The sequence below is a fragment of the Homo sapiens genome, chromosome 7 (assembly GCF_000001405.40).
Source record: "Homo sapiens chromosome 7, GRCh38.p14 Primary Assembly".
Lineage (NCBI taxonomy): Eukaryota > Metazoa > Chordata > Mammalia > Primates > Hominidae > Homo > Homo sapiens.
The window spans coordinates 6,460,182-6,484,198 of NC_000007.14; the positions used below are offsets into that span (position 1 = coordinate 6,460,182).

At 45.5% G+C, this 24,017-nt stretch overlaps 1 protein-coding gene across 2 annotated transcripts, besides 4 other annotated features; it reads right to left on the reverse strand.

The window, feature by feature from the left end:
- Window positions 1-907: 907 nt before the first annotated feature.
- On the reverse strand, window positions 908-23,971 carry KDELR2 (KDEL endoplasmic reticulum protein retention receptor 2). Of its 2 annotated transcripts, NM_006854.4 has the most exons (5): window positions 23,786-23,971; window positions 14,003-14,103; window positions 9,415-9,573; window positions 5,890-6,142; window positions 908-2,994 (listed from the first exon to the last, which is right to left on the reverse strand). In NM_006854.4, the coding sequence occupies exons 1-5, from the start codon at window positions 23,874-23,876 to the stop codon at window positions 2,960-2,962; spliced, it is 639 nt and encodes a 212-aa protein (NP_006845.1). In that variant the 5' UTR covers window positions 23,877-23,971; the 3' UTR covers window positions 908-2,959. The 2 variants fall into 2 exon arrangements, with proteins under 2 accessions (NP_006845.1, NP_001094073.1); NM_001100603.2 differs by lacking the exon at window positions 5,890-6,142.
- Window positions 19,111-19,200: an enhancer, noted in NCBI's record as "active region_25625". NCBI's record gives its function as "activates an Ori minimal core promoter by ATAC-STARR-seq in GM12878 lymphoblastoid cells {active_cell/tissue: GM12878}" and the evidence as "EXISTENCE:reporter gene assay evidence [ECO:0000049][PMID:35858748]".
- Window positions 22,858-22,927: an enhancer, noted in NCBI's record as "active region_25626". NCBI's record gives its function as "activates an Ori minimal core promoter by ATAC-STARR-seq in GM12878 lymphoblastoid cells {active_cell/tissue: GM12878}" and the evidence as "EXISTENCE:reporter gene assay evidence [ECO:0000049][PMID:35858748]".
- Window positions 23,598-23,657: a silencer, noted in NCBI's record as "silent region_17943". NCBI's record gives its function as "represses an Ori minimal core promoter by ATAC-STARR-seq in GM12878 lymphoblastoid cells {active_cell/tissue: GM12878}" and the evidence as "EXISTENCE:reporter gene assay evidence [ECO:0000049][PMID:35858748]".
- Window positions 23,748-23,967: a silencer, noted in NCBI's record as "silent region_17944". NCBI's record gives its function as "represses an Ori minimal core promoter by ATAC-STARR-seq in GM12878 lymphoblastoid cells {active_cell/tissue: GM12878}" and the evidence as "EXISTENCE:reporter gene assay evidence [ECO:0000049][PMID:35858748]".

A 24,017-nucleotide genomic window follows, 5' to 3' on the forward strand; every position in this document is an offset into this window, starting at 1 on the left:
GCCACCACACCCGGCTTATTTTTTTATTTTTAGTGGAAGTGGGGGCTTTACCATGTTGGCCAGAATGGTCTGAAACTCCTGACCTCAAGAGATCCGCCCGCCTCAGCCTCCCAAAGTGCTGGGATTACAGGTGTGAGCCGCTGCGCCTAAGGAGGGTTGTGAACCTTCTGGCAAAACTGACCCATATCAAACGAGTCAGAGGGACTCCTGCCAGAACCAGTTTCCAACCAGCTTTTCAAACAGATGTCACAAAGTAAGCAGAAAGTTAGGAGGGCAAATATGATTACTGTATATGTACCAAGCTCCAGCCACGAGCTTTGCCAACAGCAGCTCATTTAAACCACACAGAAATCCCTGGCAGTTTACCTATGTAACTGGAGGCAACGAGGCTCACGTGAAGTCCAGGGCCAGGGAGTACAAGTGAGGGAACCAAGCCTCAACACATGCCTGGGCCCAAAGCATGTGCTTTTCTTACTTAAGGGTTCCCATAAATCACTATGATCTCCATTAAAACCACTTCTCCACCTGCTCTTCTCTTAGCCAGGGCATAAGGCAACAGGGAAACTTCTTCAAAGTTTCTTTGTGATTGAACTGGACAGGGGAATAGATTGGTCTCTCTCTGTTAAGGAGCCAATGGATAGAAGCCTTTATTATTTTTAAGTTTTCATTTTTACTAGTTTTTTAAATGAGATGTGGTCTTGCTAGGTTGCCCAGGCTGGTCTGAAACTCCTGGCCTTAAGTGATCCTCCTGCCTTAGCCTCCCAAAGTACTGTGATTATAGGCATGAGCCACCAGGCCTGGCTGGAAAGCAGCTTTTCCTATATCCATTACTGGGCAAATATCTGAACTTTGCTTTATTTCTCATGATGCTTACATTGAAAAACACACAAACACCTCAATAAAAATATTAATTACCTGGTAACCTTTATTCGGGAAGTGAAAGTAACTGTGAAACAGTGCTTCATAAGGCGTGGCATACAAGGCCTTGGTTTCCAACGCCGGCGAGGATGAGGCCCAGTCCCACACTCCCTCGCAGGCACCCTTGCTAAGATGTCCTCCTGGGTGACCAAAACGGTGGTAACATAGCCAAGGTTACTTTTACTTGGGTAGGATGACTGCAGAAGGAATGGCTACACAGAGCTTCCAGACCTTTCCATGCGTTGTGCTCTCCAGAGGATGCGCCAGGTGTATCAGATTTGCATGCACAAAGACAGGTGTGCGCCCCACCCACCCTGGGCTGGGCAGCAAGAGGTCTGCTCACCTACTGCACCAGACTTCCTAGCCTCCTTCCACACTCCGAATCTTCAAGCAGGATGAAAAGAGACCACAGAAACTGAAGCAAGACTAGGATGCTGCAAAGAAAGATGCTCTGATACACAAAAGCCAAAACATAAGACAAGGAGGGAAGAGTAAAATGAGGGAGACAGACAGGAAGTTAAACTATGCAGTTACACTGCCGATTTAGAAAGATGTTAAGACACACACTAGATACAAATGAAACCCATCCTGCTCCCTTCCTCCAGAAGACGTTGTAATGCAGAAAGCCAAAATACTACATCCTTCTTGTAGTCAGCACTGTTAGTATTCAACACTTTAATATTTATGGTGTATCACATAAAAAACAAAGTCATATACTTTTGCATTAATCAAAAAATAGCAAATCCATATAATGGCAAAATCAGGAAAAAAATTCTAGTATTTCCACAAAATACATAATGTCTTACAGATGATTATGTGAACTTTAAATGTCTGCAGCCCTACAGAGCTTTTGTTGCCAATTGAAAAACAAAAAAATCCCAACACAGGATGTTCAAAAAGCCTAATTCATAAAAAGACAATTTATTCCATGTTTAATATAGTGTTTTTTAGGATGGTAACATAAGTCATGCAACAGCTCTGTAAAACAAAACAAAACAAGAAACTACGATGTCGGCTGCGGGTTAAATAAAAAGAAAACCACACATACAAAAAAGAATGTAAGGAATGGTTAGTGGTGCTGCCAATTAAAAAAAAAACTGTAATTAAATCATCTTACCACCCAAAAGTGATATGGAAAACTGTTTGAATCTGAGCATGGACATGGTTGTAGTCATCTTTTGGAATTATAAGTGAAAGTGATAGGTAACTCCTTGTGTTCCATTTCTCAGAGTAGATTGCTATATCCAAATGATCATGAACACCCCTCCCATCCCACACTCAGATGGAAAGCAGCCAGAACCCCTGCCACTGGATTCTTCAGCACCCTTGGGACAGTCTCCAACTGACACTTCCCAGCAGGGGAGGAGGGCAGGCACCTTTGGTGACTCTTCAGTGAGACTCCATCGACATTCAGAATCTTAAAATGTTGGTAATGAAAACCATGGACCTCCAAGTCATCCTTACCAACCTTAAATGTAGTGTTGTGACATCCAACGAAGGACTTCCACGTCACGTGGGAATAAATTTGAACAGATACATCCAATTGAACATAGTGTCTCAGATTTCAAACAAATACAGCTCATCTTTTGCCAAAAAATAAATATAGTGGAATGCAAGTTTGAGGGATGGAAGAATATATAATCTATCAACTGTCAAGGAGTACAATTTCATTGCAGACACAAAGACTTAAGAGTTTCAAAGAATTTTTTAAAATAAAAAAAAAATTTGCACTTATTCCTCACAAAATCTTCACTTTTGGAACTATCCCAATTGAAGCTACACACTGAATTTATTAATACAGCATTAAGTTTCTTTGTGTAAAAAAATCTTTGTACACAGTAATAAAAAAAGATAAGGCAAGATGCATTAAACAGAAACCTTCTGGCTCTTTTCCTCTGCGTTTTTACAGAGCCACTGATGACTATCTGCAACAAAAGAGTTAAGTTTCTGATTTTCCGTATCAAGCATCTTATGCCTTTGCTGTGGTAAGAATTCTGTCCGAGCACCCTGAAGGACAGATGCTGGTGATGGTCTTTGGCACTTATGCTGGCAAACTGAGCTTCTTTCCCTTGAGTACTAGAATTTCAAAGAGAAGAAAAGAAAACAAAAGGTTACTGATATTGACAAACTTAGCTTCCTTCTTCCCATTCCTAGAAGTCTCCCACACACAAGATTCTACATAGTAAGGTATAGGAAATAAGCAATTGTATTTTAAAAATACAAATTTGATTGAAAGTGCCACTAAATTCATAGTGGCTTTTTGTTATTATGACTTTCACCCTAATCAATATATAGTAAAATATAGCTTATGTAGGGAGGCCTATGAAATTCTGGGTACTATAACATAAAGGCCGGATGCAGTGGCTCATGCCTGTAATCCCAGTACTTTGGCAGGCCAGGGTGGGAGGATCCCTTGAAGCTAGGAGTTCAAGACCAGCCTGGGCAAAAAAAGTGAGAGCGACCCCATCTCTATAAAAAAAAAATTTTAAAAAGAACCAGGTGTGGTGGCATGCACCTGTAGTCCCAGCTACTCAGGAGGATGAGCAGGGAGGATCACTTGAGCCCAGGAGTTTGGGACTGCAGTGAGGAAGGATCACACCACTGCATTCTTGCAGCCTGAGTAACAGAGTGAGACCCTGTCTCTTTAAAAAGATAAAAAAAAAAAAAAACACAAAGGATGGCAGGGTGAGGTAGCTCACGCCTATACTTCCGGCACTGTGGGAGGCAGAGGTGGGCGGATCTCCTGAGGTCAGGAGTTCAAGACCAGCCTAGCCAACATGGTGAAACACCATCTCTAATAAAAATACAAAAATTAGGCTGGGCACAGTGGCTCATGCTTGTAATCCCAGCACTTGGGGAGGCTGAGGCAGGAGGATCACCTGAGGTCGGGAGTTCGAGACCAGCCTGACCAACATAGAGAAACTCCATCTCTACTAAAAATACAAAAATTAGCTGGGCGTGGTGGTGCATGCCTGTAATCCCAGCTACTCAGGAGGCTGAGGCAGGAGAATCGCTTGAACACAGGAGGTGGAGGTTGCGGTGAGCCAAGATTGTACCATTGCACTCCAGCCTGGGCAACAAGAGCAAAACTCTGTCTCAAAAAAAAAAAAAAAAAAAAAAAAAAAAAAAAAAAAAAAAAAGCTAGGCGTGGTGGCTCACGCCTGTAATCCCAATACTTTGGGAGGCTGAGGTGTGCGGATCACGAGGTTGGGAGTTCAAGACCAGCCTGGCCAACAAGGTGAAACCCCGTCTCTATTAAAAATACAAAAATTAGCCGGGCGTGGTGGTGCGCACCTGTAATCCCAGTTACTAGGGTGGTCAAGGCACGAGAATCACTTGAAGCTGCAAGGTGGAGGTTGCAGTGAGCCGAGATTGCGCCACTGCACTCCAGCCTGTGTGACAGAGCAAGACTCAGTCTCAAAACAAAACAAAACAAAACAAAATTAGCCAGGCATGGTAGTGCGCGACTGTAATCTCAGCTACTCGGGAGGCTGAGACAGCAGACTCGCTTGAACTTGGGAGGCAGAGGTTGCAGTGAGCTGAGAGCAAGCCACTGCATTCTAGCCTGGGTGAGAGAGACTCGGTCTCAAAAAAAACAAAAGGAAAGAGATAAGACATATATGCTCTTTTTTTTCTTTTTTTTTTTTTTTTTTGAGACAGAGTTTTGCTCTTGTTCCCTAGGCTGGAGTGCAATGGCGTGATATCAGCTCACTGCAACCTCTGCCTCCCGGGTTCAAGAGATTTTCCTGCCTCAGCCCCCCAAGTAGCTGGGATTACAGGCCATGTGCCACCACACCCGGCTAATTTTGTATTTTTAGTAGAGATGGGGTTTCGCCATGTTGGTCAGGCTAGTCTTGAACTCCTGACCTCAGACGATCCACCCATCTCGGCCTCCCAAAGTGCTGAGATTATAGGCGTGAGCCATCGCACCCGACCTATATATGCTTTTTACCTAGCAATTCCACCATTAGGAATTTTATTGTATAGCTGGATTTTTAGCCTGGGATCTGTGGTTGGGTTTCAGGGGCTCCTGAACCCCTCAAAACTATATACATGCATTTGGGTGCATTTGCGTAAATATCTTTTTTTTTTTTTTTTTTGAGAGAGAGAGTCTCGCACTGTCACCCAGGCTGGAGTGCAGTGGCGCGATCTGGGCTCACTGCAAGCTCCGCCTCCCAGGTTCACACCATTCTCCTGCCTCAGCCTCCCGAGTAACTGGGACTACAGGCGCCCACCACCACGCCTGGCTAAGTTTTTTGTATTTTTAGTAGAGACGGGGTTTCACGTGTTAGCCAGGATGGTCTCGATCTCCTGACCTCATGATCCGCCCGCCTCGGCCTCCCAAAGTGCTCGATTACAGGCGTGAGCCACTGCACCTGGCATAAATGTTTTTTTTTTTCTGAACAAGGATGATAGCTTTCATCAAATATTTGTAAAGTTCACACGTCCTATGTTCATACAAATGCAAAAACACATATACACAAGGATGCTGATTTAATGACTGGATTTTAACAGCAAACCAGTAACGGCCTGACCACCCATGAATGGGGGCTGGGTAAATAAATTATGGTACATGCACATAATGAAACACTCTGTGGCTACTGAAAATTATGTAGATTTCTAGTGACATGAAAAATGTGAGGGGATAAAAGCAGTGTATAGAACAGCAATGTACAGTTTAAGTCATGTGTCTGTGTATGCATAGAGAGGTATCTGGTGTTAATGTTCACTGAAACACCAGATGAATCTTTTACAGTGAAAATGTGTCACTTTAGGAAAAGCTATTGCAAAAGAAAAAGGGTTCTTATATTTAAAAAGACAACATCCTGATCCAGAATGTTATTGGCCAATCATGAAAGTGTTTCTCTGGAGCCAGTTTATGAGAGAGTGCCAGATTAGAAGAGTGCTGGGCAAGGGCACTCCTAAAAGAACACGTCACTCTAGAAACAACGCAGGTCGCACCCAACATACCTTTTGTAATGTACAAGTAGAAGAAGTCACAGTATAGGATGGTCTGGACTACGCCGGCCACCACAGCAATGAGGTCAAAGAAGCCCTCAAAGTAGAAGCGCCAGATCCAGTTGACAAGATACAAAGCACGATAGAGGCCCAGGAAGAACAGGTAGTGGGTGGTGATGGTCTCGGCCTCCCCAGTCTTGCTGATCATAAATAGCTGCGGAAGGATAGCCACGGACTCCAGGTAGATGGAGAAGGTCCAGAGGATCTGGAAGAGAAATGGCAAGCTTCCATCACGACCCACTGCCCACCAGGAGCTCAGAGGAAACACTCTTGCTTTCTTTACCACAAAGCAGCCTAAGATGAGTGGGGAGTGGGGCATGTCGGCCCAAAATAGAACAACAGCTTGGCAACTGCATAACCCAGTGGTCCCAGCCTTTTTGACACCAGTGATCGGTTTCATAGAAGACAATTTTTCCACAGACCAGCAGGGTGGATGGATGGTTTCGGGATGATTCAAGCACATTGCAATCATTGTGCACTTTACTTCTGTTATTACTATAATATACAATGAAATAATTATACAACTCGTCATAATGCAGAATCAGTAGGAGCCCTGAGCTTGTTTTCCTGCAACTAGATGGTCCTATCTGGGGGTGATGGGAGACAGTGACAGATCATCAGGCATTAGATTTTCATAAGGAGCATGCAACCTAGATCCCTCAGATGCACAGTTCACAATAGGGCTCATGCTCCTATGAGAATTGAATGCTGCCAGTTATCTGACAGGAGGTGGAGCTTGGGCAGTAATGTGAGTGATGGGGAGCAGCTATAAATACAATGAAGCTTCACTTGCTCACCCACGGCTCATCTCCTCCTGGGTGGCCTGGTTCCTAACAGGCTATGAACCAGTACCAGTCAGTGGCCCAGGGGTTGAGGACTCCTGGCATAAATCACAGAAACTTAAGCAACCTTTAAGAGGCAAGGCACTGCCAGTGTGACAAGCTGGGTAACCTGGACACCTCTACCTCTTTGAATTTTCATCACCTTGTCTCTCCAGGTTTATTCTTCCCTCTTCAATTTTCTATGAATCTACATACAGAGGTTTCTCCTGGACAAGCTTGTCCTGCTCCAGATCTGGGATACCAAATCAACCCTGCTTTCCGCCAGGATTGACAATACTGATAATTGATAAGCTCCTTCCACTTCCTCACTGCTGTTTTTCCTCACTGACTGATCTTGCCAAACTACTGAAATATTTTCACTATTTTTCTTATTCCTTAAGCTTTCTGGTGTGGTTAAATCAAAGGGGTAGAAGTCACAACTGTAATTATGGAAATTCTCTGCCCAGCGTATGACTTTATTCACGATGATGATAGAAGGACTTTCAGAGGGTCCTTGAGTATTTTAAAAGTCCAGGCATGGCTGGGTGTGGTGGCTCATGCCTGTAATCCCAGCACTTTGGGAAGCCGAGACAGGCAGATCACCTGAGATCAGGAATTCAAGACCAGCCTGGAAAACATGGTGAAACCCGGTCTCTACTAAAAATACAAAAATTAGCCAGGCATGATGGTGGGTGCCTGTAATCCCACCTACTCGGGAGGCTGAGGCAGGAGAATCGCTTGAACCCAGGAGGCGGAGGTTGCAGTGAGCCGAGATCATGCCACTGCACTCCAGCCTGGGTGACAGCGAGACTCTGTCTCAAAAAAAAAGAAAAGTCCAGGCACTCCCAGCACCCATCAGACACCCAGGGTAGCACAGTGACTTGATCGGCCCCAGGATGTGAAGCAGCACCGTTTGCCTGTTCAGCAGGGAAAGAAGAGGCACTCAGGAGCAGATCAGCTCACTGCACAGTACTAGGGGCACCACAAACCAGCTTTCCTAAAGGCAAGAGGTGCAGAGTGCTGCTAAGCAGGGTCACAGACACGACATCAGTGCACATCTGTACATGAAAAGCAAACAAAATGTGGGCTACAGGAGGGAGACCTTGTTCTTCCCACACTGGGACAGGCAGGGCTCTGTGTTTGGTACCACTGAAGTCAAGATAATGAAATACAGTTTCAAGTTTCTATTTCAAATGAATCAGACAGTAAACTGTCAGCAGACACCTAAATATGTGGGTGCTTAATTCTCATCTACGATTTTTTTACACCAGTCATGAACATTGCACTAGAGTTTGCCAAACCAGAAAATAAAAACAAAAAACTCCATGAAAACCTACACGATCTGCAAACATGCAAATAGGTCCATTCTAGATAACCAGACATGACCATGAAATTAACTTTTTTTCTTTAGATGGAGTCTTGCTCTGTCGCTAAGGCTGGAGTGCAGTGGCTCGATCTCGGCTCACTGCAACTTCCGCCTCCAGGTTTAAGTGGTTCTCCTGCCTCAGCCTCCTGAGTAGCTGGGATTACAGGCGTGCGATACCACACCCAGCTAATTTTTGATTTTCTTTCTTCTTTTTTTTTGAGACAGCGTCTCGCTCTGTCGCCAAGGCTGGAGTGCAGTAGCGCGATCTTGGCTCACTGCAAGCTCCGCCTCCCAGGTTCACGCCATTCTCCTGCCTCAGCCTCCCAAGTAACTGGGACTACAGGCGCCCGCCACCACGCCCAGCTAGTTTTTTGTATTTTTAGTAGAGACGGGGTTTCACCGTGTTAGCTGGATGGTCTCAATCCCTTGACTTCGTGTCCCACCTGCCTCAGCCTCCCAAAGTGCTGGGATTACAGGCGTGAGCCACTGCGCATGGCCAGTTTTTGTATTTCTAATAGAGACAGGGTTTCACCATGTTGGCCAGGCTGAATGCCTGAACCTCTGACCTCAAGTGATCTGCCCACCTCGGCCTCCCAAAATGCTGTGATTACAGGTGTGGTGAGCCACCAGGCCCAGACCTAAATAACCTCTTTTTTTTTTTTGAGAGACGGAGTCTTACTCTCTCGCCCAGGCTGGAGTGTAGTGGCACAATCTCAGCTCACTGCAAGCTCCACCTCCCGGGTTCACGCCATTCTCCTGCCTCAGCCTCCCCAGTAGCTGGGACTACAGGTGCCCGCCACCATGCCCAGCTAATTTTTTTTATTTTTTAGTACAGACGGGGTTTCACCATGTTAGCCAGTATAGTCTCGATCTCCTGACCTCGTGATGTGCCCACCTTGGCCTCCCAAAGTGCTGGAATTACAGGCGTGAGCCACTACGCCCAGCCATAACCTCTTTTTTCTTTTCCCTCGAGACAGTCTTGCTCTGTCACCCAGGCTGGAGTACAATGGCGTGATCTCGGCTCACTGCAGCCTCCGCCTCCTGGGTTCAAGTGATTCTCCTGCCTCAGCCTTCTGAGTAACTGAGATTACAGGTGCGTGCCACCACACCCAGCTAATTTTTTGTATTTTTAGTAGAGACGGTGTTGCACCATGTTGGCCAGGCTGGTCTCGAACTCCTGACCTCATGATCCACCCAAAGTGGAGGCTGAACTCCGCCTCGGCCTCCCAAAATGCTGGGATTACAGGCATGAGCCACCATGCCTGGCCCTAAGTAACCTTTTAAACTAACCTCAAGAGGAGAGAAATCGTGATTAACTAAAAATGAGAGGCCTCCCACAGGGACCACCAGAAACTCCACTCGGAAGGTATCATGATTTCCATCGTAGGTTGCCTTAAATTTCAGGTAGATCAGGTACACTGTGGCATAGGAGCAGGCAAGGTAGATAACCTACAAATAAAAGAAAAAACACCAGGTGTCAATACCTTGCCACTGTTCCAGCACCCCCCAGCTTTTTTAATCACCCATGTATTTGGAAAGGCAAGATTTTTTTCCTTAGCTTTGTTTTTGGAATTTTAAAACTTAAATATAGTAAAATTCTCTTTTTTGGAGGTGTTCAGTTCTGAGGCATAACCACCACCAAAATTAGGACACAGAATAGTTCCATCATCCCCAAAATTCTGCCATGCTGCCGCTTCGCAGTCAAACTCCCCCAGGCTTCCTTCACCTCCTGCAGTGCAATCACACTTATGTTCTCTGTCCATAGTTTTGCCTTTTCTAGAAAGCCACATAAATGGAGTCACATAGTATGTTGCCTTCTGGGTCCAATTTCAGTTAGCCTAATGCATCTGAGAGGCAACCAAACTTATTGTGTGTATAGCAGGTCTGCCAATAACATCCTTTGGTTGTAACACTGATGAGAAAAGAAACTGGTTCCCGGCTGGGGCCGCCATCCATGGCGTTTGCATGCTCTCCCCGAGTCCACGTGGGTCTTCTCCAAGAGATACTCTTGGAGAATCTCCCACCAGAGATACTCTGGTTTCCTCTTACATCTCAACGATGCCAGTTAGGTGAACTGGCATGTGTGAACTGTCCTAGTGTGAGTGGGTGTGGGTGAGCGCGCCCTGTGATGGAATGGCATCCTATGCAGTTGGGGGAAAGTTCGCGCCTTGAACCTGAGCTGCTGGGATAGGCTCTGGCCACCTGGGACCCTGAAATGAAGTAAGTGGGTTGGAAAATGAATACAAACTATGGTAAAATAATTCATAAAGTAGTATACAATAATTATACATATGTACCACAATAAACAATGTAGTACAAAAGCACTCAGTGAGCCTGCTATATTTGTTATTGTTTGTTTTTGAACTTTATGGTAGTAGGAGGTACTCCTTATAATTTTTGTTTGTAAACATATACTTCTTGATTTAATCCGCCACCACTATGACCACCATCATGCACGGATTCACCAAAAACTGGATAAATAATTATGTTGCTTTTATTAATCTTTCTTAAATGTATAGCTCATGTTGGCTGGGCATGGTGGCTCACGCCTGTAATCCTAGCACTCTGGGAGGCCGAGGCAGGCGGATCATGAGGTCAGGAGATCGAGACCATCCTGGCTAACATGGTGAAACCCTATCTCTACTAAAAAAAATACAAAAAATTAGCCGGGCGTGGTGGCGGGTGCCTATAGTTCCAGCTACTCAGGAGGCTGAGGCAGGAGAATGGTGTGAACCCAGGAGGCGGAGCTTGCAGTGTGCCGAGATCTCGCCACTGCACTCCAGCCTGGGTGACAGACTGACTCTGTCTCAAAAAAAATAAAAAATAAATAAATAAATAAATAAATAAATGTATAGCTCACATTTGTTTCGGTTTTTTTTTTTTTTTTTTTTTTTGAGATGGAGTCTCGCTCTGTCGCCCAGGCTGGAGTGCAGTGGCACAATCTCGGCTCACTGCAACCTCCGCCTCCCAGGTTCAAGCGATTCTCCTGCCTCAACCTCCCAAGTAGCTGGGATTACAAGCGCCTGCCACCATGCCCAGCTAATTTTTATATTTGTAGTAGAGACGGGGTTTCCATGTTGGTCAGGCTGGTCTCGAACTCTTGACCTCAGGTGATCTGCCTGCCTCGGCTTCCCAAAGTGCTGGGATTACAGGCGTGAGCCACAGCACCCGGCCTGTTTTGGGTCTTTATTTAAAAGTCTGGTGGTGTTTTGGGGACCGGAAATATGCTGTAGGAACTTAACTCTTACTCATGTCAATTAGCCTATGGTAAAACTGGCTTCAGTGTATGTTGTTTCACTTCAAGTTGCAGTGTGTGTTGTTTCACTTCAAGAACCTACCAATGACATTAAGTGAGGGCCTAGTGTTAATAATTTGTTCCTTTTTATAGCTGCGTCCATTGGTGGTCCATTGTATGGATGCACCAGTTTGTTTATTCACTCACCAGTTGAAGGACAGGTGGTTTCTAATTTGGGAGGACAGTGGATAAAGCTGCTGTGAACATTTGCGTACAAGTGTTTGTGTGAATGTAAGTTTTCACTTCTCTTGGGTATGTACTTAGGGGTGGGACTGCTGGGTCATATGTTAAGTGTAAGTTTAACTTTTTTTTTTTTTTTGAAACGGAGCCTTGCTCTGTCACCAGGCTGGAGTGCAGTGGAGCAATCTCGGCTCACTGCAACCTCCGCTTCCCGGGTTCAAGCAATTCTCCTGCCTCAGCCTCCCCAGTAGCTGAGATTACAGGCGCATGCCGCCACACCCAGCTAATTTTTAGTAGAGATGGGGTTTCACCATGTTGGCCAGGATGGTCTCGATCTCCTCACCATGTATGTGAATAAATACAAAACAAAATCTACATGCATAAACAAGACACACATCCATCTACACATGCACTGAGCCCCCTCAGCGCATCTAGCCAAGGCTCACAGCAGAGAGGCCTCTCACCAGGACCTAGACTGTGGCCAGCTCAACATTAATAAAAACTTGATGGGCGTTATTTCCACTAAGGCCTTAGCAGCACCTGGAGAAGAACAGCTGCTTCTCTCCTCTCACCAGCACACAGAAGTTAAAGTAAAAAGACACGAGCACCTCGGGTCTCACGCCAGACTTTCAGGACATCGTGCTTAGAAACTACAACCAAGCAAGCATGGATTCCTCTGAAACCTGGGCATCCTGAGGGGGAGAGAGGATTCTTGCTCACACACCTCTAATGCCTGCAGTTTTAACTTGCCTAGACAAGTGGGGACCTAACCATTTTTAAGTAAGCTCATTATTTCCTGAATACTAGGTTCCCATCATTTGGTAATGAAGAATCCATTATAAGTGACTCAAATTTGCTTTTTAGTAAAGACCAGACTCACATACTGCTTTGTCTCCTTTCAACAGTGCTTATGAAAATGCTCTTGAACACAAAATGTTGGGGGGAGGTTGTTTAGGTGCCATACCAATAGGATTCAGTTGAAATATTACTTCCTTGGGTATGCTAATAACCAAATGGCCTAGAATAGTGCCTGGTGCACAGGTGCTCAGTATTTGTAGAAAGAAGGAAAGAAAGAAAGAAATCAGACTCCTATTACATATCCTGAGAGCCCCTGTTCTTTTTTTTTTTTTTTTTTTTCAGACAGGATCCTGCTCTGTCACCCAGGCTGCCAGGCTGGAGGGCAGTGGTGCAATTACGGCTCACTGCAGCTTCAACCTCCAGGGCTCAAGCGATCCTACCACCTTACCCTCCTGAGTAGTTGGGACTACAGGAGTATGCCACCATGCCTGGCTAATTTTTGTATTTTTTTTTTTTTTTTTTTTTTAGAGACAGGGGTCTAACTATGTTGCTCAGGCTGGTCTCGGATTCCTTGGCTCAAGCAATCCACCCACCTTGGCCTCCCAAAGTGCTGGGATTACAGGCGGGAGCTACTGGGCCTGTTTCATGTTTTTTATATCCATAGGTTCGCAACTCTTATACTTTTCCTTTGTGGCACCCATCATAAATCGCAGTCATTTGTACTGCCATGATCTGTGTACTCTCCCACACCAGCCTAGAGACTTCTGCTTATTTTCTGCCGCATCCTCAGTTCCCAGCTCTGTAGGTGTTCACAAGCATGAATTCAACACTGTGCGAAAGAACTGAAGCTCACGTAGTCCACAACTTCCCCCAGTGTGGGGTGTGTGCCACCAGTGCTACACAAAGTGTTAGGTGGTGTGCAAACATTTTGTATTTTAATAGTTATACACTAGTTTTAATGTGAATTAGAAAAAATATAAGAAAGACAACAAAGGTGTTATAGATACTAATAATTAGGACAAGTTGAAAGGTTTAAAAAAATACGTTACTAAGTAAATGATGGTATAGAGATCATTTAAGCACGGCAAATGTAATAAAAATGACACACACACAACAGTTTAAGTAAAACTGACTCAGTGGCAAAGAAAAAAGATAGAAGCCTATAGACAGTTCCTCACACAGCAGCGAAATGAGACACTGCAACTAGGAGTCCTGCTTTCGTTCCTTGTTATGTACCAACTTGCTGGATTTCTCTGGGGACTCTGTAATTTCCCACGGCTTGAAAATATAATAGTTACCGCTCTTACTTACAGAGTTATCAAGAGCTTTAGATTTATCATACTTAAGGAACCTAAAATAAAAAAGTTCTAACTTCAAAGTATTTTAATTAACTACTGTTTTGAAACCAAAAATGTATGCTTACTGATAGCTCGTTTAGTCCCAGTTATATATACAAGGTGGTCTGAAAGTTTTAAAGTCAAGAACAGCATATTAAGACATTATTTTTGGAGCATTTTAATTAAAAATACACAGCTGACATAAATTAAGTGTCCATAGACCTGTGCACTGTAGATGAAATACATTCCTGTGGATGGCATACCATACCTTCATAGATGTGTTATACAATGAAATAAATGAAGTAAAAAGATCCAGGTAACGAGTTGTGAAGACCAGTGCAAACAGAAGCTGGCTTTTCCCAGAAATACCTAGAGAAACAGAAGGGAAGTATTAGAAGGGCCTGAAGAGCTTTGGGATTCCTGTGGATCACACTGTGCAGGGAGTGCAGACAGGGAAGGAGGGGTGCGTGGGGTCAAGGCCCAGGTCTAGGGATGGCTCTGAATGAACAAGAGCAGTTGTAGTTTTTCTATCCCTTCCCATTCCCAAACATGCTCCTTTTGGGAGGCTCTAACAGGCTTTTCTGTCTCACTATAAAGGGCGACCACAGGAAAGGGGCTTTATTATGCCAGGATGTGTATCATTCAAACGAACCTTTTACTTCTCAAATATATCACCTTAAGTAGGAACAAATTTCTCAATAATTCTGCTGTCATTTAGTGTTATAACTTGTCTCTTACATTCAGATTTTTCTTTTTTGTTTTCCCCTGAGACAGGGTCTCCCTCTGCTGCCCAGGCTGGAGTGCAGAGGCACGATCAAGCTCACTGTAGCCTTGACCTCCTGGGCTTCAGCAATCTTCCCACCTCGGCCTCCAGAGTAGGTGGGACTAGAGGTGTGAACTACCACACCCAGCTAATTTTTAAACAAATTTTTTGTTCACCATGTTGCCCACACTGGTCTTGAACTCCTGGGCCCAGCTTCCCAAAGCGTTGGCATTACAGGTATGAGCCATGTCGCCTGGTCCCTTCTTTGTATGGTAAAACAGTATCTCCATGGTGAGAAATCTTTTGAGAACGGAGATGGAGTCTACTGTCATTAAGGGGGATGAGGAGTAGATGAGAAGCACCGACTCAGGTAAGAGTTGGGCAGGAACTCCCGCTGGAATAATGGCATCGCATCCCATGGTGACTTCTTTGCTAAGAGCGGCAATTACTTGGATATGTTAAGATTTTTAAAGCTTCCCTCTCAGTTAGGCATAGTGGTCATGCCTATAATCTCCACATATAGGGGGGCTAAGGCGGGAGAATCGCTTGAGCCCAGGAGTTTGAGACCAGACTCCATCTCTACGAAAAATAGAAAAGTGATAGCCAGGCAAGGTGGCACACACCTGTGGTCCCAGCTACATGGGAGGTTGAGGTGGGAGGATTGCGTGACTCCAGGAGGCTGAGGCTGAGTGAGCTGTGGTCACATCCCTGCACTCTAGCCTGGGTGACAGAGCAAGACCCTGTCTCAAAAAATAAATTAATTACAATAAAATAGAAATTCCATTGTATTTGTATAAAAATGTTCCTGAATGCTAGGACAACATGAAGGTATGAACCCACAACTACAGCTGGTCTTCAAAAGCAGCTGTCTTTTTTAAAGCCTTGAAACTGTGTTTCCACTTCCAACCACCAACCCACCTCCAGAGCACTGCATGGCACAGCCACACTCAGCCAGGAAGGCTGGACATTTATGTGGTGTGCACACAGCTTTTCTGACATCTATATTTGGCCAAATATTTATGTGACAAAGGACGCAAACTATGGGTTTCAGATGCTGGAGACTGAGCAAATGCATTAAAGAAACTGAAGGCTGACTAAATGTCAGAACCCACCCACCCTCATCTATAATGCATACTTCACACCACTACACATTTTAGTAAGTATGAATTTAACAGAAAAGTCACTTCACCCAAATCATTCACAACACTCCTCTGGAACGTGAAAAGCACATTATTTTTCTTTTCTTTTTTTGAGACTGGGTCTCACTCTGTTGCCCAGGCTGGAGTGCGGTGGCACAAGTACAGCCCACTGCACCTTTGACCTCCCTGGGCTGAGGTGATCCTCCCACCTCAGCCTCCTGAGTAGCTGGGACTACAGGTGGGTGCACCACCACACCTGGCTAATATTTGTATTACATGTTGTTTTTCAATATTTTATGAACAATCATTTTGCAGCTTGCTGAAACTGAAAACCTGAATGTAAGAATGTTACTTTCTCAGATGAATAACTGTAGTCTCAGCCTATTCACATACACATCTAAATAGAAATGGAAAAAAATGTTGATGCCACCCTTCCAGATCCATCAATAGAAACCAAAGGGCCAAAGGAGGAGACACGGACAGTGAATCTGCTCTTAGTCTTTTCCCCGTAACGGATAACTGATTTCTTCCTACAGAGACCAATGTTCCAAAGGGGAAATGACAAGGCTGCTGCTAACCAAGAAACCGGGAGGTTTCAGAGGGGGAAGAAGAAAGAACAGGGAGCAGTCAGACCATACCTGGTGTTTGTTGAAGCCTTGAGAAATCAATTTCCAGCTTATTTCCTATATGGTTCTTTCCAATATTTTAAATATAAACATACAGGATACAAGTAGGTGAATTTTGTGGGAAAGGGTTTTACTCTAACAGAACTTTGGAAGCCAGGCAGATTTGAAATTGTGTCCTCATTCCCAGCATTCCTATACTGAAAACCAGGGACCATCATATTGTCTTTACCAGCCCCCGTGGGGACCCAGCTCATATCCCACCTCCTCTGGGATGTCATCTCTGAAGATACCCTCCCTCAGGACTGTTGATTCATTCAGCAAGCACATAAGGGGAACTGCTTCATGCCAGCTGCTGCCCTAGCTCCAATTACAGTACTTATAAAAATACACTGTGATGATGTGGTTCCTGCCTCTCCTCTCCCCAAAAACCTCACTCAGTACCAAGATCTTTAAAGGCTGGGGTCATGCCTTATTCCATCTTGTATTCCCTGCATGGGACACTGGGCCCTGACACACAGCAGGACTCAGAAAATATTTGCTGAATGAATAAATGGACAAAAGAAAATGGGATTCATTTTATCTTCATGTCATGGGGTCAAATTCTCATTTTGTGGTATTTTGGGAGAACACTTCTGAAGAATGTCCAGGTCATACTGTGTCTCTGTGACTGTAAATAGGGCTCTGCCCTAATTAACTACTAGCTAGAGGGTGAGAGAGCCCCAGGTGCGCACAGGGCAGTGTGTGGTTTGAAGCCGGTCCATGGAGTAGCGTCCACGCAGGACAGCCTTGCTGGAAATCTGCGGATGCTAACGTGGTCCCACACTGTTCTTCCCCAGCCTGAGATCCTGATTAGGAAGTAGCAGCTTCTTCCTTTAAAACAACAAAACTGTCCTGTCTTCATAGGAAAATGGGAATCCTAGCTGAAGACAGAAGGGGGTGGGGCAAGAATCTCCTGGAGGGGTTGGGAGTAGAATACCTGCTATTAAACCAGAGCAGCTCCTAGTCGGCTTCTCTCCACTTTGAGATCAAAGCATGCTAAGGTTACCAGGTAATAAGATCTCCCAGAATACTCACTTTTGTAAATGTTTCTGAAACTGATATCCCCTTACCAAATACACCAAACATCTATATTAAGGAGTACAACTTGTTAAATGGAAATCAGTCATTAAACAACATCATTCTTGTCTTATCCTACTGGGCCAGGTTAAATGTCTTTTGTTTTCTGTTTTGTTTTCGAGATGGGGTCTCTCTCTGTAGCCCAGGCTGGAGTAGACTGGTGCAATCATAGCTTCCAGCCTTGACCTCCTAGGCTCAAGCAATCTTCCCAATGAGGTATTATATATTACAAAATAGTTAGAAGTTTTCGAATGAAGAAATGATAAACACATGAGGTGACGGAAATAACTACCCAGATTAGACTATACAACATACACATGTATTGAAACATCAAACTGTACCCCATAAATAGATCCAATCATAATGTATCAATTAAAAAATTTTAATCCGTAACCCCAAATAATGCAAATTAAAACACATAAACCAAAAATAAGACATGAACATTTTAAAATTTGATATTGTCAAATTTCTCCTAGAAAGGCTATGCCAATTTACGTATCTACTAACACGAAATGCAAAGACCCTTTCTTCACATCCTTGCCAACATTTTCCTACCCAGTGGTATGTACTGCTGTTCTTTTTTCTTTGCTTGCCCGCCCCCCGGTTTTTTTTTTGAGACAGAACCTCACTCAGTTGCCCAACCCAGGGTATAATGGCATGATCACAGCTCGCTGCAGCCTGGGGCTTAAGCGATTCTCCCTCCTTAGCCACCTGAGTAGCTAAGACACAGGTGCACGCCACCACGCCCAGCTAATTTTTCATTTTTTTTGTAGAGACAGGGTTTCACTATGTTGCCCAGGCTGGTCTCAAGCTCCTGGCCTCAAGTGATCCTTTAGCTTTGACCTCCCAAAGCGCTGCCACCACACCTGGCCGCACTGCTATTTTCATATTCAAATTCCTAACTCCTAGCAAGACTAAGCATCCTTTCATGCTTCATTGGTCTTTCGTTATTCTTCAGTGAATTGCCAACTTTGCCCATTTTTCAGCTGGGTTTTTATTTGTAGGAGTACTTTATTATAGATATTAACCTTTTGTCACTTAGGTATATTACAGATTATTTCACTCAGTTTATTGTCTTTAGCTTTGATACTATTCTGAATTAAGAAATCAATTTGGAGAGATGTCATCTTGCTTCCTCACCAGCCTTCCTGGGTGCTCTCCAGGACCGTAGTATGAACATACATGCAGGTCATCTTCTATGTCCATCAGCAAAGTTTAATATTTATTTTTTATTTTTATTTTTTTGAGACAAGAGTTTCATTCTTGTCGCCCAGGCTGGAGTGCAGTGGTGCGATCTCGGCTCACTGCAACCTCTGCCTCCTGGGTTCAAGCAATTCTCCTGCCTCAGCCTCCCTAGTGGCTGGGACTACAGGTGCCTGCCACCACGCCCGGGTAACTTTTTTGTAATTTTAGTAGAGATGGGTTTCACCATATTGGCCAAGCTGGTCTTGAACTCCTGACTCAGGTGATCCACCTACCTCGGCCTCCCAAAGTGCTGGAATTACAGGTGTAAGCCACCGTGCTCGGCCATCTTTTGTACATTTTCCTATCATTTCAACTACATTGCAGCTTTCTTGAGAATAGAAACTTTTCTCTCTTTTGTTTGTCTTTTGTTTTTGAGACAGTCTCACTCTGTCACCCAAGCTGAAGTGCAATGGTGTGATCACGGCTCGCTGCAACCTCGACTTCCTGGGCTCCAGTAATCCTCCCCACTCAGCCTTCTGAGTAGCTGGGACCACAGCGCACCACCACGGCTGGCTAACTTTTGTATTTTTGGTAGAGACAGGGTTTCACCATGCTGCCCAAGCTGGTTTTGAACTCCTGTGCTCAAGTGATCCACCCACCTTGGCCTCCTAAAGTGCTGGAATTACAGGCATGAGCCACTAAGACCGGCCAAGAACAAAAACTTTTTTTTTGTTTGTTTGTTTGATTTTTTGAGACGGAGTCTCCCTCTGTCACCCAGGTTGGAGTGCAGTGCACAGTCTCGGCTCGCTGCAAGCTCCACCTCTCGGGTTCATGCCATTCTCCTGCCTCAGCCTCCCAAGTAGCTGGGACTACAGCCGCCCGCCACCATGCCCGGCTAATTTTTTTGTATTTTTAATAGAGATGGGGTTTCACCGTGTTAGCCAGGATGGTCTGGATCTCCTGCCCTCAAGATCCGCCCGCCTTGGCCTCCCAAAGTCCTAGGATTACAGGCGTGAGCCACCACGCCCAGCCAAGAACAAAAACTTTTAATAGCTACAAGCTGCTGCTCTGAATTGTGTGCCAGTGCCTTGCACATAGTGGGTGGTCAATAAATGAGAGTAATGATTACTCAGAGACTGGCACTCAAAAGAGCACAGGCCAAACAGCTACAGAGGGAGCTGCATATGTGAAGCAAAAGCTTCTTGGAGTACTCCACATCTTACCCACTATATTACTCCAAAAATATCAACTGTCCCATATCTGAAATGTATGGACACCATAAGATCCAGTATGGGGTTTGGTAGGATGAAAAGTTTACAACCTACATAACAGCTAACAACAATCTAAGCAACAGGGGAAGGAGGGAAGGAGACAGACTAGAGGGGGAAGGCCCGGGGTCGTGGATCTCAGAAAGACTCCTCTAGCTACAGTAGATACACACTACTGATAACTAGCTACAGTAATACACACTACTAATAGACACAGCACTACAGTAGATACAGCACTAATAACCATTGGCCTACAGGAAAATTTGAATAGGAAGCCCTTCATCTAAAACCACCGCTTGTTCTTCCGAGGTTATGTAGGTCAGTGTTTAGGACAAAAATAAAGTGACAACTTGAGCATACCGTGGATCGAGCTGCAATGATAATTCAGAATAGGAGAAACTCACATTCCATGTTGACACCCTTCTGTAATGACAACAGCAGATACAGCCACAAGAGAATGCAGCCTCAAACATGATCAACTCACTGCCCCCACTTTAAAACGGTCCTTAAAGGCAGCTGTTCTGGAATCTGCCTATGAGGAACACAGAATCTCCAGCTTCCACACGAGTCAGCCTCATCCCTGATCCTTATGGGGTAAAAAGCACCATGGTTCCGAGACTAAAACAGCATTTTCAAAATCAGTGCTAAAATCCTAAAAATGAACCTTGGTATGAGTATTTTCAAAATGAGAAACACAATCTGGATGCACGTTTCTCCTATTCCAGTCATTTGAGAAACTCATATCAAATTCTTACTCTTTCAAAAGACTCTAAACAACTTTTATAATTTAGTATGGAAAAATAAAGCAGCTTGTCAAAGTTAGCATTTAATTCTGAATAAATGATCTGGGTGATTTACTTAAAATCAGGAAAACACACAAACCAGGACAGAAATCATCCTAAGTCTGAGAACAAGAACAATTTAATAATGTCCCGGGAATACTTGGCAAACACACACACACGAAGTTAACTCATCTATTTCACTTCCTTCGTTAGCATTTTAGCTGAAGTATTTCATATTTTCCTTATATGCTCCTGAATCTCTCAAATGAAAACAGTGAATAGTAAAAAACAAACGGCCAGGCGCAGTGGCTTACGCCTGTAATCCCAGCACTTTGTGAGGCCGAAGCGGGCGGATCATGAGGTCAGGAGACCGAGACCAGCCTGGCCAACATGGTGAAACTCTGTCTCTACTAAAAATACAAAAATTAGCCGAGCGTGGTGGCAAGCGCCTGTAGTCCCAGCTAATCAGGAGGCTGAGGAGAATCGCTTGAACCCGGGAGGCAGAGGTTGCAGTGAGCCGAGATCACACCATTGCGCTCCAGCCTGGGACACAAGATCAAAAGTTCATCTCAAAAAAAAAAAAAAAGAAAGAAAAAAAAATCATTATTCTGAAGTTGCACTAAATTCTCCCAAATATCTTAGTTTGGATAAAAGTTTAGGAGACAGCACACTTCAAGGCTTAATGATTTGCCAGAGGAGGGGATTCTGAAAAACATATGGAAGAAAATGAAGAGACTCACACAAAGATTTTGAAGCAAAACTAAAGATTAAAAGTAACATCGCCGGGCACTGTGGCTCACACCTGTACCCAGCAACTCAGGAGGCTGAGGAGGGAGGATCGCTTGAGCCCAGGAGTTTGGGGCTGTAGTGAGCCGTGACACAGCCATTGCACTCCAGCCTGGGGGACAGAGTGAGACATCGGTCCCACTGTTTTAAACAAACAAACAAACAAACAAACAAAAAAACTAACATCATCTGAGTGTAACAAAAAAGGATCTAAACATCGTGGTTTGGTATCAAATGTTTATTTAGGCTCCCTTAGACATTCATCTATCCAATCCTTTGAGTTACTAATTGTGCTTCAATCCTGGCTCTATCACTAATTTATTCCACTCCCTAAGACTCAGATCCCACCTCCACAGAATGGGAACAATAGCACCTACCTCCTAAGGTCGTTTATTTATTTATTTATTTATTTATTTATTTATTTATTTATTTATTTATTTAGAGACGGTTTCGCTCTCGTTGCCCAGGCTGGAGTGCAATGGCGCGATCTCAGCTCACCGCAATCTCCGCCTCCCAGGTTCAAGCAATTCTCCTGCCTCAGCCTACCGAGTAGCTGGGATTACAGGCATGCACCACCACGCCCGGCTAATTTTGTATTTTTAGTAGAGACGGGGTTTCTCCATGTTGAGGCTGGTCTTGAACTCCTGACCTCAGGTGATCCACCTGCCTCGGCCTCCCAAAGTGCTGTGATTACAGGCATGAGCCATCGCGGCCGGCCCTCCTAAGGTTATTTTAATGACTACCTGGGATAAGCCATATAAAGCACTCGGCTGACTACTTGATATACAGCAAGTGCCTAAACATCACTTACCCAAACTGCAGCAGTTATTTGCTGTCACTGGAAATCATACAGTTGAACCTCTCAGAACTATGTATCAACTGAGAGATAACCTCCAAGTCAAACACACTGGCACATGGACTTTGTAACACCCATCTTAACTGTTCAAAGGTCTTTTTGGTTTTGCTTACTTCCCGGATCTCAGTTATGTTCCAAGGAGACAGGCGAGGCCTGCAGACAGCAGATTCAGAGATGTAAGTGTGACTTTAGACGCCAAAATTTTTAGAAATAAATCAGGTAAATAGAGTCTCTGCACCCAGATAATTCAGGATCATCTTTTACTGCCTCTGAAAAAATTAAGTTCTTGAGTTCAACAAAAATTATTTTGCCGAGCATCAAAAATAAGTTTAAGGGATTTTTAAGAAAGTTAAAGCCTGGGCAACATGGTGAAACCTTGTGTCTACAAAAAATAGCAAAAAAAAAAAAAAAAAAAAAAGTTAGCCAGGCATGGTGGTGCACGCATGGAGTCCCAGCTATTCAGGAGTCTGAGGCAGGAGGATTACCTGAGCCAGGGGAGGTAGAGGCTGCAGTGAGCAGTGATCACACACTGCACTCAAGCCTGGGTGACAGAGCGAGACCCTGCCTCCAAAAAAAAAAAAATAAGTTAAAAACTCTCAATTATTATACCTTTAAAATTAACGAAATGTAAAAGTCCAAAACTATTATCTGGGAAAGACTCGTTTCACTGCCGCCTAGCAGTGCCTGCATGAAATCTGTACTCTTGATCAGGGAACCAGCCAGCTCACTGGTGACGTGGAGCAACGAATTGCAGGAGCCCATAGGAGGCCTCGGCGGTCCCCGGGCGCCGCAGTTTTAAGAGAACCCATTATTAGATGGAGGCACTTAAAAACCAGATCGTTTCCCAAAGCAGCATTAATTACGCCAAGAAAATCACTGACGACCTCTCGGCAAGCCCCTCCCCAGCGGTGTGATCCTGGACCCAAGGGCTTGGGTGATGCCCACACAACACTTAAGGACAGGTCTGACCCGACCCCACTACACCACACCTAGAGCCCGGTCTTGCACGGGCAGGGTGGGGAGCCGAGTGACCTCTCCCGGCGCCCGCCCCACCTCCCGAGCTGGCTGGGCTGCCACGTCAGGCGCAGCCGGCCACGATCCTGCCCATCCTCCTCCCGCCCGTCCCATTGATTCGCGGGTTTCCTGCAACCCCGGGACCCCCACGGGAGATCCCGGCCGGAGAAGCGCCCCCATTCAAGCCCAGAGAGGGGCCACGCCTGTCGGACCCCCCGTCCCACGCCAACTTTTCAGACACAGCAGGGCCCCGCGCAGCCGGGTGCGCTCCGACAGCTCAAGTTCACGCGGGGACCGACTGCAGAGCGGGGTCCCGCGCTGCGACACCCGGCCCGGAGCCCACCCCGAGGGCCCGCAGGCCGCTGCCCCCCGGGTCCGGGCACCCGTTAGGCCGGCCGAGGGGGTGTGTCGGGCCGGCGCAGGCCCCGCGAGCCGTGGGGTGGCCGAGGTCGGCGGGTCCTCGGCGAGACCCGGCCCCCACGCCCGAGCCTCTCCGGGCCTTCCCCCGCCGCTCACCGGCGCAGGAGCGCGTCTTCCAGATCTTCAGCAGCAGGATGACGATGGCCGCCAGGTGGGACAGGTCCCCAGTCAGCCGGAAAATGTTCATGGCGGCGGCGGCGGTGGCGGTCGGCGCAGCGCGGCGGCCCCGGGGCTGGGCGGCTCAGGAGGCGGCGGCCCCTGAGAGGAAGCGGCGAAGATGGCGAGATCGCCCGCGACGTGGCCAGGGACGTGGCCGAACTGCCGGCGC